Raw genomic sequence first — 15,412 nt, forward strand, 5'->3', positions numbered from 1 at the left:
AATGGAAAAGTTAAGATTTCAAGAAAGATTAAACCAGGGACCTAAATTTGGCCACTGTAGAGATGGTATTTAAGGTCTTGAGAGAAGCTGAAATTGCAAGGCAGAATATGTTGTGATATGAACTCCCAAAGAACTCAAGAATTTAGAATTTGGTAGGAAAAGGAACAGACAAAAAAAAAATCCTCAGAAAGAACTGTCATAAGGTGTAAATAAAACAAACAAAAAACCCCTATTTTATCACTGAAGCGGAAGAGAGAGTGTTTCAAGAAGGAAGATATGGTTAACTGTATAAAGGGCTGCTGAGTGGTCAAGTCAGATGCAGGCAGAACATTGACATTGGATAAACTGGTGACCACGACAAGAGCAGTTTCTGCAATGTGGTGAAGCAGGAAGCCAGAATGGAAAGGAGAGGAGGAGATAAAGTAGAGGCAGTGCCTATGCATAATGGTCAAAAAGCGTGGCTGTTAAAGGAGAATAGACAGAATGGGTGATAACTTGACAGAGGTGTGGAGTTAGGGAAGTTTTCACTTGCTTGGCTTTGTTTGTGAGGGTGGATTCTTGCATATATTTGAGTGCTGAAGGGAAAAATCCAGTAGTGAGGAAGAGGTCAAAGATTTGGAAAAGAGAGGGTATAGCTGACAGAACAAGAGCCCTGACCAGGGAGGAAGGCATGAGATCCAGGCACCTGTGGAGGGACTGTACTTTGCTGGAGGCAGTGATGAAAGGAGAGGACAGGAGCAAATCCAATGGACCCATCCAATCCTCCCAGGCTGCTGCTCTGGGAATAAAGGGGTTGCAAGCATTCCAACTCTGAGAGGAAGAAATGAGATTGTGATTGTGAACATGGAGGGAGCTTCTAGAAAAGCACAGTAAACCTGCTAGGCAGTGTGGAGGTCCCAGCTGAGTTTGGAGAGCATGAAGTTGGAGCCATGCCAAAATGCCCAGTTGTGTCACATTCTCCAGTAATTCTGATCTGTTCAGGCAACAGGCATGAGTAAATCTGGGAACAACTGAGAGGTCAACAAAGGATTTAGTGGTATTTTTAGGACACTGTAGGAAGAACCATGGCCTCTGAGCTAGATACAAAAGAAAATGAAGATAGGAGGAGATTTATGGACATAGGCAAAGTGGAGGGACCATTGGCTTGGAAATCTCATTGAGGCTGGAGAACTGCTGTAGAGAAGGGACTTGAGCAAGGGAGCTGGAGGGTGGTGGCAAGAGAATGAGATTTCAGAGGAGGCACAGTTTCTGATGATGACAGGTTCACCGCTGTGTCCATGTGAGTGTGCTGAGGTGAAAGGGCAAATAACATCACTGACGGTGCAGTCATCATGGAACTGGGTAGTCAGGGCATTGGTTGGATCAGCCACAAGGACATTCAGTTACTTAGAATGATGGCAGGAGTCGGGGGGGAGGGTAAGACCCCGAGAAAGATACCAAAGCCTTTGGTTAGTAGGGGAGACAGGGTGAATTGGTGGATAGTGTGAAGTGAACCTTACAGGAGATTTCAGTCTTTTAGAAGGAAAGAGTAACGACGGTCAAGGGACAGCAGTGAGTTGCCTGGAAGACACTAACACCAGCTCCCAGCACTGAAATTATAGAATTTATTATTGAAAACGCAGGGCAGAAGGAAAAAATGGAGTCTTCAGGGGCCAGCCCCAATATAGTGAAGAGAAAGAGTTGGAAGGATCACCGGGGAACAAGAAGAGTTGGATGCAGCTGGGGAAACAGGGAATAGGAACTGGGGTGGGGTGCAGGCAGAAAGTAGTAGCAGTCCCTTGGTTACAGCGGTGGCACACCTCTCAGTGAAGTCTGATGTTACTTGATATCCTCAAATGAGTCCAATCAGTATCAGTTTGGATACTTCATAGAGATCAAGACCACCCCCAAATTAGGATAGATGTGCTTTCCAGGTCATGGTTTCTGACACTCTGAAGGTTCTTCAATGTATGTCACTTCAAAGTGCACAGATGTTAAATTATACAAAACCAATGTAGGGTTGGGTCACCAGCTTTACAAAAATAACACATAAGTAATCAGACATTTGAGCCAATTACACTTTCTTATGTTACATAAATCCTATTTCATCCACTTTTCCAGTCTCATCCCCTGCCACTTGCCCTGCGCTCCATGCAGCTCTATCAAACTGGGCCTAACTTCCCAAGCACACTGCCCCGTTTGGGCCTCCAAGGCTATGTGTGTGGCATTCCTCCACCCAGTATAGCCTGCCATTCTGGATCCCACCTCCCCTGGCTGCGGGCAGGTCAGACAGCGTTCCATGTCCTCCCTTCCCTCTGAGATGTTGACCTGTTTGCCCTTTACTCCCTCCCCACATTAAGTCAGCTGAGCATTTTTCATTGCCTAAGGGAAGCAGAAAGCAGATGGAAAAAATAAATATTTTGAGTTTCAAAATCCAGATCCCATAAAAGTTAGGCAAGGATTGGCCACAATATTGGCTTGAACAAAAGGGATGGGGACAGATAGAAAGTCTCCTCAGCCCGGAGGGAGGAAGACAGGCTGAGGGAGGCAGGGTGCTCCTGTTAGGGCTCTCTGTGGGAACCCAGGCAAAAGTGCATTGCTCTCAGATTTCCCAGTCCTGACTGCAGTTTCCTATCATTCACCCACTCGACCTGCTCACCTGTCTTCTTTTGGCTTATACTGAGTTTTACATTTGCTTTCGTTGTCTTTATTTAAAATTTTGGATATCTTAAAGTCCAGATTACAGGCCTCTTTTAAGAAAAAAATCAGATCTGGCTCTAGAGGAATCACATTACCTTGTGGCAACAACCAGCTGTCCCCAAGCAAGGACTGCCCTCTTTCCACAGGGCAGGGGCTCTCCGCTCTCCTCAGTGCCAACCGTTCCCCCACAGTTTATTATACTCTGGTCGTTATCTGCCTGCCCTTTTTAGCTGTTTGAGCTTCATTCGGATCCCTGGATGCCCACTGAGCCAGTCAGGCTACAGGCTAGAGGATATGCCTGGTCTGGATAAATCTAGTGATAGCTCCAGAAACATAGCAAATCTAGCTTCCGCCAACCTTGAGGGAAATGGCTGGCTTCCTTTGCACAAAGGTAAAAGAAGCTTCTGTTCTCTCCCAAAGTCTCCCCAGCTGTGCAGCCCAGAGCCAACTGAGGAAAGATTTTGCTCTCACCTCACAAAAAGCTTCCAGATCCAATCAACCCTACTCTGCCAGGCTGGGAGAAGAGCAAAGAGAAATGAACACATGAGGATGTGTGCCTACAAATCACATTATGTACATGACACATTCCTCTCCTTGCAAGGCACTTGCATCTCCACGGACAGAGCAGGGCAAGCACTGGAGCATCCTAAGAGGTTAAACTATGTACCCAAGGTCCCACAGCTAATTAGTGACAGAGTTTGGAGCCCAGGCCACCTGTCTCTCATTCCAACCAGTGCCCCCTAAAGATGCGATTGCTTCGTCCTGCCTATGGAAGGAGGACTGAGTGGGAAGCCTCCCCTGTGGCAGGAAGAGAAGCACCTCCCTCCTCATCTAGACGAAGGTGGACAAGCTTCTGCCAGTCCTTCTTCAAACCTCGGAGTCGAGGATTCCTGCACAATTTCTATCAGGCCCTAAGCCTTTTAGTGGAACTTTCCAAGTTTATTTTTATTTTGAAATTCCATGGGTTTACTTCATTTGTAGCACATGTTTCCTAAAAACAGCTCATCTCTGCTCTTGCCCTTTTAGTATAAGCTCTCGAAAGCAGCCCCGGACCGTGTGAGAAAGCTGGAGGCAAAGAGCTGACAAATCACGGAGGTCCCCTAATCTGTGGAAGGCCCCAGGGCAGGGCACGGAAAGCCTTCCCTGGTCTGGTCTTCCCTTCCGCTCTTTTGGTGCCGTTGAGTCGTTGTCTGACTAGAGGAGCTTTCATTCTGGAAGGGAAGGCATTGCCAGTGAGCTTTACACATTTTACTATGCTCTCCACGATGTGACTGTTGTCATGGTTACTTTTTTCACCAAATTGAGACCCTCAGCCTTATTCCACACTGGAGAGGAAGTCAAAGAACAGGGCAGTCTGCATCCAGAAGAAAATCTGAGGTGGGCAGGAACTTTCCCTGCTTCTACCCAGACACATTCCCTGCTCTGGAGAGCAAAGCTGCCCTCCCGTTTCCTGCTTTTCATGACAAAGATTGGGTCTCTGTCACTCCCAAGCAGGGCGAATCGAGCCAGATTTTTGTTGGACGCTTTCAGGAGCAAAACCAGCTCCTCGTATTGTGTCCCATTCACAGCTGGAGCAGCTCGGGCACTAGGCGAGGCAGGGGGTGCGGCGAGCGGTCTCCAGCCGGCTGCCTGCGGTCGGTGCCGCCCGCAGAATCTGCGCGGCCCAGTGCAAAATAAAAACGCGGGGCCCCGCGTTCAAAAAGCAGGAAAAAGCCTTTCCCTTTCTCCCGTGGTCTTTCTGTCCACCTGTCTCGGCAGGGTTTATTTGCTAGTTAAGTTGCGCTGGCTTGAGCACAGGGACGCTGGCGGGCCAAAGGCCGACCCTCACAGGCGACCCAGCGTGGCGGCGAGGTCCCTTGGCTGTACGCCGAGGTCTGCGCCGCCCCCACGTCCGTGGCCGGCCACTGCCCAGGGCGGAGGGCAGCGGTGTTCGCCGGGTGGGGGCCCAGAACCTGTCCCAGGAAGACGCAGGAGACGCGACCGGGGTGAGACAAGAGTCCAAGCTCTCAAGCATCCACTGTGTTATTGCACTTCACTTACAATACACGAATTTGAAGGAAAAATGATTAAGAATTTCATATGGTGACTGCAGAGCATTCATTAGATTCCAAGCGGGACCCCTTCTGAGCGCGGGACCCTATGGCGGATTGCCATTGAAACCAGCCCTGCCGGCTCCCCATGCCCCGGGGAAGGGTCTTCCCTGTGCCCACCCCAGCTTAGCAGGCGAGAGCACTGGAAGGAGCCTGAACGCCACAACTGGTTGGCACTAGGCATTGCTCCGCCTTCGCCCCTCCCCACCCTGGGGAAGAAGCAGATACTAAGTAGATAAATATGAAAGCAAAGTACCATATCACTTTCCCCTAGGTTTCCTCCAGAGCACGTGTCAAATCTTTTTACTGTAGAGGTGGGGTTGCTTTCCTTCCATCAGACCCACCCTCCCCCATCCCATTTAAAGGACTTCGCCAAAGCATAAGTAACATGCAATAAACCTCAAATATTTAAAGTGTACTATTTTATGAGCTCTAACATATACACATGCACTTGTGAAACCATTACAAAATCAAGGTGGCATTTAATTTCCATCACCCACTTGTCACCCATCCTTCCTCCACACCCATCCCCTGATAACCACTGATTTGCTCCCTGTCATTATTGATCAGTTCGTGCTTTCTGGAATTCTATTGTCATAATCAAACAGTCTGTACTCTTTTTCATCTGGCTTCTTTTACTTAGCATATTGATTTTGAGTTTCATTCTTATTGTTCATATCAATAGTTTGTTCCTTAACATTGCTGAGCAGTACTCAATTGCATAGCTATGCCACAGTTTACCCATTCACTTCTTAAGGAGCATTTCCATCGTTTCCTTCCCCCCCCCCCTTTTTTTTTGGCTGTTTCAAGCAAGGCTATGATGGATGTCAGTGCACAAGTCTTTGTGTGGACATATATTTCACTTCTCTTGAGTAAAAATCTAACAGTGGCTGTATAGCAGGTGTATATTTAACTTTTTAAGAAACTGCCAAATTATCTTCCGAGGTTCCACTGCATTCCCATCAGCAGTATATGAGAGTTACAGTTGCTTCACATTCTCAGTCTTTGAATTTTAGCCATTCTAGAGGTATCTGATTGCGATCTTAATTTGCATTTTCCTGATTATTAATAATTTTGAGCATTTTCAAATGAACTTACTGGCCATTCATATATCTTTTATGAAGCATCTGGCCAAATCTTTTTTCCCATTTAAAAAAATGGGGTTGTCTTATTGACTTTTTTAATATATATATATTCTGGATTCGAGTTGTCTGATACGTGTTGTTTTGAATACTTTATCTTAGTCTGTGCTCTGCTTTATTTTCTTTGTGTCTATTGAGGATTAAGTTTTAAATTTTTGATCAAGTTTGTCAAGTGTCTTTATGGCTCCTACTTTTTTTGTGTTCTGAGAGACCTTTGTCTACTCCAAGGTCACCTCCTCTTTTCTTCTGTAAGTGTAATAGTTTTAGGTTTTATATGTAGGTCTATGATCCATTTTGAGTTAAATTTTGTATATGGTATGAGGTAAGGGTTAATAGGGTTATTATTTTTTCTTTCTTATGGATATATCCAGCACCGTTTTTTTGAAAAGGCCCTTTTCCCCCCTCAAATTGAATTGTCTTAGTACTTTTATTAAAAATTGGCAATATATGCATGGGTCTATTTCTGGATTTTCTGTTCTGTTCCATTAATCTATATGTTTATTTTTTGCCAACACAAAACTATTTTGATTACTATAGCTATAGTAGGTCTTGAAATATAAAAGCAAGATTAGTAAATTGGAGGATGAGCTCTCCAACTTGGTTCTTTTTTTTTTAAATTACTTTATGGGGTTGCCATGGAGGTGGACTGCTCAAATCTCCTTAAAACAACAACAACTACCACTACTACTACTATTTGGAGCATAGTTGACAGTTCCACCCTATGGATTCACCACCATGTTCACAGAAAGGCCATATTTCTCTGGGTAGCTCCTAAACAATGACAAGCATGCTAAGGGTACTAGTGGTAGCCCATTCCAGCCAAGGCAGGACTCTTCCAACAGGCAATCTTTGCTTGGGGGTTCCCTACTGCTGACTGAAACTGTCTCAGAGCTATACTGTTGTCTGAAGCCCTTTCCACACAACTCGCCCTTCCCTCTCTTCTTTCACAGATTCCAGACTACACTGGGGACTGAAAGCTTTTTGGCCTACTCCCGCTCCCTCCCTTTTTATCTTTCCCAGTCATTTGCCCCTGTAAACCTCTTGTATGTTTAATGCAGTCTTGCCAACTGCTTCTTAAAGGTTCCTAACAAACACACACTGAAATTCTACCCCAAAAAGTCTGCTGAAATTTTAAATGGAAGTTTACTGGCTCTATAGATCAATACAGCCAATTATCCACGAACGTGATATATCTCACCATATATTTAGGTCCTTTACAATTTCTCTCAGTAATGTTTTGTAATTTCTGGTGTAGAGGTCTTAGACATCTTTCTTTAGATTTATTCCTAAGTATTCTTTGGTTTTTTTTTTGGTACTACTGTGTTGAAATTGTTTTAAATTTTTTATGTTCCAATTGACTGCTGAGAGTATATAAGAATACAATTGGATTTTGTATGCTAACCTTGTATCCTGAACTGAAACCTTGCTGAATTCATTACTAGTCCCAGTAGTTTGGTCTCTGCTTCCTCCCCTACCGCCTTAAGCAAAAGCTTTTGGGGGATCCCGGTGCTCTGGTAAAACTGGGATGTGGGTAGCTGGAGCTCCTCCAATCAGTATCCCTATCCCTACCTGGAACCCCTTCACCCTAAAAACAGCTTCTAGAAGTTGCTGAAGAAATCTCATACTCCAAGTAACACAGTATAACCAGCCACTGTTCTAGGGAAATTGGTATTTACTGAACACCTCCCCCATATTTTATAGGCATCTTATCTCATTTGAGTCTTTAAAATTAAAAAAGGAAACCACTGTGTGAGATAAGTAGAAGTAGCTCCATTTTAAAGATGAAGAAGTAGAGATTAAATCTCTTTGACAGGGTCTCAACAGTTGGTTTCTTTCTGAGGAAAGACCAAAATCCATCCGTCTGACTCTAGAGTTCATGCTCTTTCCTCCCACCGCAAGCTGACTATCCCCAGGCTACACAGGCAGACAGATTCCAAAATGGGTTTCTGCTGAGGCCCAAGTCTTTAGACCGACTGTCTTGTGTTCATTCAGCACGTGGCCCTGTGGGTCTTGAGGCCTGACTAGGCTCTGGGATTCCACCCCCACAACAACTGCCACCCAGTCTGGTTTCCTAGGTTCCTGTTCCTCCCAAATTGCTTTCTGAGGGTATCAGTGGCCTCCCTCTCACCCTGTCTGATGAACTATGTGCAAGTCTAAGCATTTTTTTTTTTTACTTCTCTGCTGCCTTTGCAGAGAACGTCTCCTTGGAACCACGTGGCTCAGTTTGTTTCTGGTTCTCTTCTCACATCTCTGTTCACTTCTTATTCATACTCTGTCCTGATTCTTTTTTATCGCCCTCTTCTTAATCACCCAGGTCATACAGTCTGTGGTCTCCAGATCTTCTGTTCTGTCCCTCTCTCATTCTTAGAGATGCTCTTTCAAGCACCTGTGGGAGCAATACCCCTCTAACCAGGCCTGCGAGTCACCTAAAGTTCTGACTACCCAGTTAACCCTAATGTACCCATAAAAAATTATAACACCTTGAAATTTCTAATAGTTTAGCATCCAAATGATGTTTTCCAGATCGTTCCCCTGTCTTCCTGTACTCTCAGAAGAGTACATCTTTTCTGAGACCCAACGTGTCTTGATTTATAGTTTGGGTGACATATTTAACATCTCCAAGGAATACTCTCACTTGGGTGGACAATTTACAAGATCTAAACCTTGTTGACAAACTAGCTCCACCACAGTTCTACCTAACCAGGTAGCTAAGCCTTAGACTTCTCTTTAGTTCTAGGGATCCCACCATCCTTTTGGTTTTCTTTCCTTCTTCTCTTCTCCCATATCTACTCACTGAGTCAAGCCCATTGTTTTCTCTGAATTAGTCTGAGGTCAGGCTGTATCCTCTGTGGCTACTGCCACTCTTTGATTGATTAGTCCAAGGATTTCCAAAGACTGATCTTCTAGTTCATATTATCCCCCCATCAGGGTCAATGTTACTTTGACAAAAATCTTTTCCTCTGGCACTTTTTACATAATAGGTGTTCACAATCTGGTGATATTAAAAAGCCAGCAGTGTTTGCATCAGCAGATTTTGTACCAGTTCTTCGTTATCTGTTCACTACATCCAAACTCCTTTGCTTGGTTTTTAGGATTTTCTACTATTGTCCTATATCACCAAGTTCATTGTTTATATTGTGCCTCAGTGTGGAACTCCTTCATCCAAGAGAGAAACACCAGGCTGGCTGACACTTTTGCACAACCCAGCACTCTCTCATCCATGCTTGTGCCCATTGTATTCTACACACCGTGAGTGCCAACTTTCTGTCCATCTTCGATTTTTCCCTTCAGTTTTAACCTCAGCCATATCTTTTCCTATCCTCGTATTTCTTCTCCAACCCTTCCCAACCTTCAAGATACGTGTTCCTGAGTAAATCTCTTGTGTGCTATTAGACTAGCCCCAAAGAGCAGAAGTTCTCAAATGTAACTGGAAATGAGCTTCATTAGGCTATGAGCTTCTTCAAGACAAGGATCATGTCTTATTTAACTTTATAGCACCAGCATCTAGACCAGTGCCAGGTACATCGTTTGAGTGCAATAAAATATACATTTTATAAACAAACACCACTCTATGGTGTTGGCCTCATTGGCAGAAGAGTTTGAGCTTCCTCATCTGGAAAATGGTGCTCAGAATATCGACATCATAGGTAGTGAACACTAAATAAGAAAAGCTACATGAAGGTCTTAGCACAGAACCTGGCACAGAGAACTGTATATTAATGAGTTCGTACCTTCACATTATGTTTTTAGAACTGTCATCAGAATTGCAGAGTTCCTATAATTGCTCCTCTACAGCAGGGTAGTTTTGCTAGAGCCTCCTCTAGAGTAGTACCAAACTCATGTATGAAGTTTGTAATTATTATAGGGGAAAAAACTGGCCCAGCAGGAGAAAAATCCACAAGGACCACTGCTTACAATGCCCCTGGTTATGATTTTTGGTGTGGAGTTTGGCTGTGACAGTTGAGATAGACAGATATGCAGATATACACTGATTCGTCTTTTTCAGGGATTCCATAAATGCATACTCGGTTAGGACAACAGGCTTCATAATGGGAGGGACCATTTTTCCATTTCTTTCCTCACTTTTTTTTTTGAGATGGAGTTTCACTCTTTCGCCCAGGCTAGAGTGCAGTGGCATGATCTCGGCTCACTGCAACCTCCGCCCTTCTGGTTTCAAGCAGTTCTCCTGCCTCAGCCTCCTGAGTAGCTGGGACTACAGGTGCACGTTACCACACCCAGCTAATTTTTGTAGAGACAGGGTTTCACCATGTTGGCCAGGCTGGTCTCGAACTCTGGACCTCCTGATCCACCCACCTCGGCCTCCCAAAATGCTGGGATTACAAGCATGAGCCACCACACCCGACCCCCTTCCTCACTTTTTATACAGGAGAGAAACTATATGATCAATAGGCAGAATAGTGTTTGGACACTCTGATGTGTTCATTTTAACACTGAACCTTACATGTTTATATTCAGCAGGCAAAATAAAAATTTTTAATCCAGGGAAGCAGTTAGTTAAATCACTCTCATAGATTTAATAACTTTCATAGTTTTGGAGTGGCAGTTATCCCTAATCTAACTATGCCTTTAGTTTTTCTATCTGTAAAATAAGGGTAATAGTCTACTCTCACCCTCTTCTTAGGAATAGCAACTATTATGGTACAGAGGAAAGAGCACTGGAATGGGAGTCAAGAGAACTGAGCTCTATCCCACCTTTGCCTAGCTGCACAGCCCTTGGGAAAATCACTTCAACTCAGGCCCCTCACCTCCGAGAAGTCCAAACTAAGCAACCTCTAAGTCAGTTCCCAGAGTAAGAATGCTATGCTTTTTAAAAAATGACAGCCGGCTGCAATGGCTCATGCCTGTAATCCCAGCACTTTGGGAGGCCAAGGTGGGTGGATCACCTGAGGTCAGGAATTTGAGAATAGCCTGGCCAACATAGCAAAACCCCATCTCTATTAAAAATACAAAAAATTAGCCGGGCATGGTGGCAGGCGCCTGTAATCCCTGCTACTTGGGAGGCTGAGGCTGGAGAATTGCTTGAACCCGAGAGACGGAGGTTGCAGTAAGCCAAGATCATGCCATTGCACTCCAGCCTGGGCCACAGAGTGAAATTTTGTCACACACACACACACACACACACAAAAGACATAAGTGGCCCTCTTCTTCTACCCAGAATTGCCAGATAAAAGGAGACTTCCTTTGCACCAGGTAGAGAGTGGGACTGGGCACGTGCTGTCCACGGCAGGTGTGTGGTGTCAATGTGCCAGCCATATACATCAATAGTACCACACACCAGGCAAGAACTCAAGCAGGGTGAACATGTCTGTTTGGAGACAAGGACCCTAGGGAAGTAGAGGCATGAAGATTACTTGCACAAGGATTATTACCGATTTTTGTACAAAAATTGAACCTATTACTGGGCATTCTTTTCAGACTTCCTGAGCTGCCCATCAGCCCTCTGACTCATGACTAGAGGAATTACCCATAGATATCCCTGAGTGGGGAGGGAATGGAAAAAGAAATGGGAGGTTGCCTCTTATGCCTCTTGGGAGCGTTATTCCCTCCTCTGAGGATGAACTGAAGTGTAACAGGTGAAGAGCTCTCTTCGTATTCACTTGATGGTCATGCCAAATGCAAGGCAGACCACCTCAGAATCTGTATCTGCCTACAAATACCATCATATTTCCCAGTTGTATGAAAGAGCCACAGTGTTTCTAGCCAAAAGACTTGAGTTTAAATCCCACCTACATGAACTGTCTGGCTTTAGGCACGATGCTCCAGGTGTCTGAGTGATGGAAGGATCACAAGAAATAGAGATGCACAGAGTGTTTATTCTAGGACTGGCTACAGCCTCCCTGGCCCTCGCTCCTGTATACATCATCTCCTGCCCAAATACTATTTAGAAGAAGATTTTTTTTTAATAAACTCTCTAAGATTGATCCCTTTGTCAGGGGTATTTGAAGAAGAAAGAAGGGGCAACACCATAAGCCAGAGGGGACAGCATACCGAAATCCTGCAACGCTGGGGAGAAAGCTCTGCTTTCTCTATTGTCATCTCACCCCCACTCTCAGGCCTGCCCCAGCCACACCTGGGCTCTCCCTCCTTCACCTTAACTTGGTGACATGTCACTTGGCCCATTCTGGATTTGGCTTCCGCTCCGCTTGTGGTTTGGCTTCCACTCTGCTTGTGCAGTCCCTAACTGTTGTGGCCCGTGTCAGGGTGGGAGGGGACATCCAGGAAGCCCTGTTCTCAGAACTGTTCACACAGAAAGGGAACCTCAAAGAGTCCTACCCCACTTCACTTGGGATGTGCATCATGGCAAGAAATGGTGCCATGGCCTGTGGCCACCACGGCCACAGCCTAAATGAGCACCCACCTCTGGCTCATAGCCAATGGCAGCCTTGAAAACACAGGACCTGAGTCACTCCACCCAACAGAACCAGTGGTTAAGGAGTCTCTTCTGTGAAAAGATGCCTAAATCTTCACCTCCAGCCCTACTCAGAGCTTTTGCTTTACTAAGACCAGAGGGATTATTTAGTGTCAGTTTTAAATTGCTACTTGTGCCATTCTGACACAAGGAAAATGCACAGGCTTGGGAGTCAGACTGTCCTGGGTTGAAATCCCAACTTTGCCATTTACTGTTTAGGTAACATCTGGCAAACTGCTGGATCTGGCTTAGGCATGTGTGAAATGGGGACACGGAGACTTCTGGACAGTTGCTGTAAAGGTTAAGCAAAACTGCACGTTGTAAATTGCCCAGTCCTCGTCAAGCACCTAACTCAAGAGTGACTGCTCACATTTTTTTTTCTTGTTTCCTTCTCACCAGAGAAAGACTAAATTATCCCAAGTATGGTTTATTTATAAGAGTTCAAAAATTCTGCTGAAAGGCCAACCATGTAGTTATTGAACAAGTTCCTGCCTGATTGTTTCCGTTCAGGTAGTAAAGTGTCCAAAGTAAATGGATTCATTTGTAACATAGATCGCCCCTACAGCAGGACTGCTTGACAGTGTGCCTGCTAGCTGCTGTGTCCCCCCGGCCAGCCCCACACCAGATTCCAGCCTGAGGTTTGAAGGAAAAGGGCCGTCAAGTTTGTCTAGGACTTTTAGACGCTAAATGAAGATTATGATGGAAACTGTCCTTCACAAAATTAAAACTATCCTTTTTCCTAGGAAGCTCTCACTGATAGAGAGGCTTGTTTTGATTTCCAGATTTATATTGAGACCATTTATATGCAGGCATGTGTGTGAATGTAAGTGCGTGTCTCAGAAATAACTAATCCTAACACAGCAGAATGATTTGGCTTAGTCTATAGCAGCCAGTCTAATCAGAGTATTTCATAGTCTATCTCACATCTTGCAGGAGTTTGTCCATCTTCGTCAGATGGCTCATTATGCCAGCCAAAATGACAAGCTCTACAGGCCCACTGACCCCCTTGTTTCCTCATGTATAGATAAAACTCAGAACACATGAACTCGAAAGACACAGTGACTCGATTTGCAAAGTCCCAAAGAACCACTGCAAAAACTTAGCTGCCACTTGCAATATAAATGTTACCATACCTTTGCTTTCATGTTAACTACCCTTCATATTTTAGGAAACTACAGTACAGTTAAAACTGAAAACATATCCAGACATAGCAAACACAAGTTACATCTTGTAATTATTTATGCAAGTTCCTTAACTTTAAAGCCACAAACCATTTCTACAGTAATTACCACACTGCAAGTACATACAATTTTAGTTCTGAAGGACAAACCTATATGCTTCTCTGTGATTTCATAGTGCATTGCTTTAAAAAATTTCTGCAATTCAATCTAAAACACCCAACTTTCTAACTTCAAGCAAAGTCTCCACAAAAATGAATTCTTCCTGCCTGAAGTCGGTAGCAGTAACAGAAATACAAGTCATAAGCAGCTTTTAAAATCAAACGTAATCATAATGTGCTATTGAGGTGCCTTTGCTTAGAGGAGCAACTGTAAGTCCCAAAATTTGTGGGATTGTGTTGGTTTTGAATGCCCTGACCCATTACCAAGCTTTGTATTCAGACAAAGCATCCCATTTTCTGGTTCCAAGAGAATGTCAGCATACAGTTCAATTTAAAGAGGTATTTGCACCTCTGAAAGGGCACAAAAAAAAAGAGAGAGAGAGAAAGAGAAAGAAAGAAAAAAGAAATAAAGAAAGAAAAAGAGAGAAAGTGGTACAAGCAGTTCTTATAAAAAATAAAACTATGTGTCACTATTTCAACTTGTCTTTATTGAAACTGCAATTTTCTAGTCTGTTTTCTTAGATCTGCAGTATCTCTGTGTAACACTGTTTCCAAGCTCAATTAGGAGGATTTTTATTTCATCCCCATAAAATATCTCCTTTTTTATGCCCTTTGAGTGCCCCAAGTGGGTTTATAATTACGCAATCTTTATTGAAGGAGTACAGATGAAGTAACAATTCTCATTTCTAATTCCAATTTTCTGGAAAGACATTTAAGTCTTCAATCCCTGGGTACCTGAAAAAAGCAAACAAGGTACAGATGCCTGTAATTTTTCCTATTTTTAGTTTTGGAACGAATCTTTTCTTACGGCAATGAAAGCAAATGAAAAAACCAGTCCTTGAACACTTGCAACAAAAGACTATCACTTTCTACTGGAATTGACATTGGATTAAAAAGCTAAAGTTTGAAAGTAAAATTATTTTGCTACTCTTTAAATATTTAAGCAGTATGAAAATAAATTAGAAAATAAATACGCGTATTTCCCTAATAGTGCACACCACTTGGGTGACATTCTGTATACTCCTATTTTTGCCATGATGTGGATTTTTTTCCCATCAAATGAAAACCTACAGAAATAAATTCTGAAACAGATAGATTGTTCCCCTCCTTCCATTCTCATGCCAATGAAATATTTCAAGTGAACTGTTTTCTGATCACAAATATCACGTTTTTTTAAAAAAATCAAAAAGCAGTTATTTAAAAGAATACATACTATTATTAAAAGTTAGTCAAGACCAACTAATAAGACCTCAAAAATGAACATATTTCAAAGAATTTTGTTCTCTTCAATAGTTGCATGAGTTTTTTTTTTTTTTTTTTTTTTCCCCAGGAAAATGTGCAAATATCAAGGTTACCTGGGTCTGCTGGTCACTTCTAGTTTTTGGACTCTTGAAGATGGTGAGTTTTGCTAATGATGCGCGGCTGTTTAAGAACCAGGTGGCTTTTCTGGCAATCACTCTTCGTGTGCCATCTTTTATAAAGGTGCTTCTTGTTGCTAAGAGATCAGTTGCTTAGAGACCAAACCATTAAAAAAATATATATGTCAGGGGCCAACATAAATTATAGCCAAATTTTGTCATTTCAGCTCGCCCCCTGAATGTTTGGCTTTTGTAATAGATCGTAGCGTACCAAGAGAAGCTAATTACTAATCACAAATAGAAAACTGACCATGAGGAGGAGAAAAGATCTGTGCGTACGCTCCTGTGAACAGAGAGTAATATCATGCCTCCCT

General features: G+C 43.5%; 1 protein-coding gene and 1 long non-coding RNA gene across 8 annotated transcripts in view, besides 1 other annotated feature; one reads left to right on the plus strand and one right to left on the minus strand.

Annotated features, from left to right (window-relative positions):
- Positions 1 to 15,412, plus strand: part of MIR4713HG (MIR4713 host gene) — a 256,425-nt gene that overhangs the window by 225,485 nt on the left and 15,528 nt on the right. Inside the window, exon 2 of the long non-coding RNA NR_146310.1 lies at positions 15,011 to 15,078. This is a non-coding gene — a long non-coding RNA (MIR4713 host gene). The remainder of the gene's footprint in view (positions 1 to 15,010; positions 15,079 to 15,412) is intronic.
- The window catches only part of CYP19A1 (cytochrome P450 family 19 subfamily A member 1), a 130,540-nt gene that overhangs the window by 54,916 nt on the left and 60,212 nt on the right, over positions 1 to 15,412 (minus strand). Inside the window, exon 1 of one of the 7 annotated variants that reach the window (NM_001347252.2) lies at positions 15,036 to 15,188. The exons of the other annotated variants lie outside the window; for them this stretch is intronic. The gene's annotated coding sequence lies outside the window, so the exon portion shown is untranslated. Of the gene's footprint in view, positions 1 to 15,035; positions 15,189 to 15,412 lie in introns of those variants that run through there. 7 annotated transcript variants of the gene reach the window in all.
- Positions 3,894 to 4,527: an enhancer, noted in NCBI's record as "H3K4me1 hESC enhancer chr15:51559063-51559696 (GRCh37/hg19 assembly coordinates)". NCBI's record gives its function as "activates a minimal SCP1, AML or CMV promoter by ChIP-STARR-seq in primed H9 embryonic stem cells {active_cell/tissue: H9 hESC(primed)}" and the evidence as "EXISTENCE:reporter gene assay evidence [ECO:0000049][PMID:30033119]".

The sequence above is a fragment of the Homo sapiens genome, chromosome 15 (assembly GCF_000001405.40).
Source record: "Homo sapiens chromosome 15, GRCh38.p14 Primary Assembly".
Taxonomy (NCBI): Eukaryota; Metazoa; Chordata; class Mammalia; order Primates; family Hominidae; genus Homo; species Homo sapiens.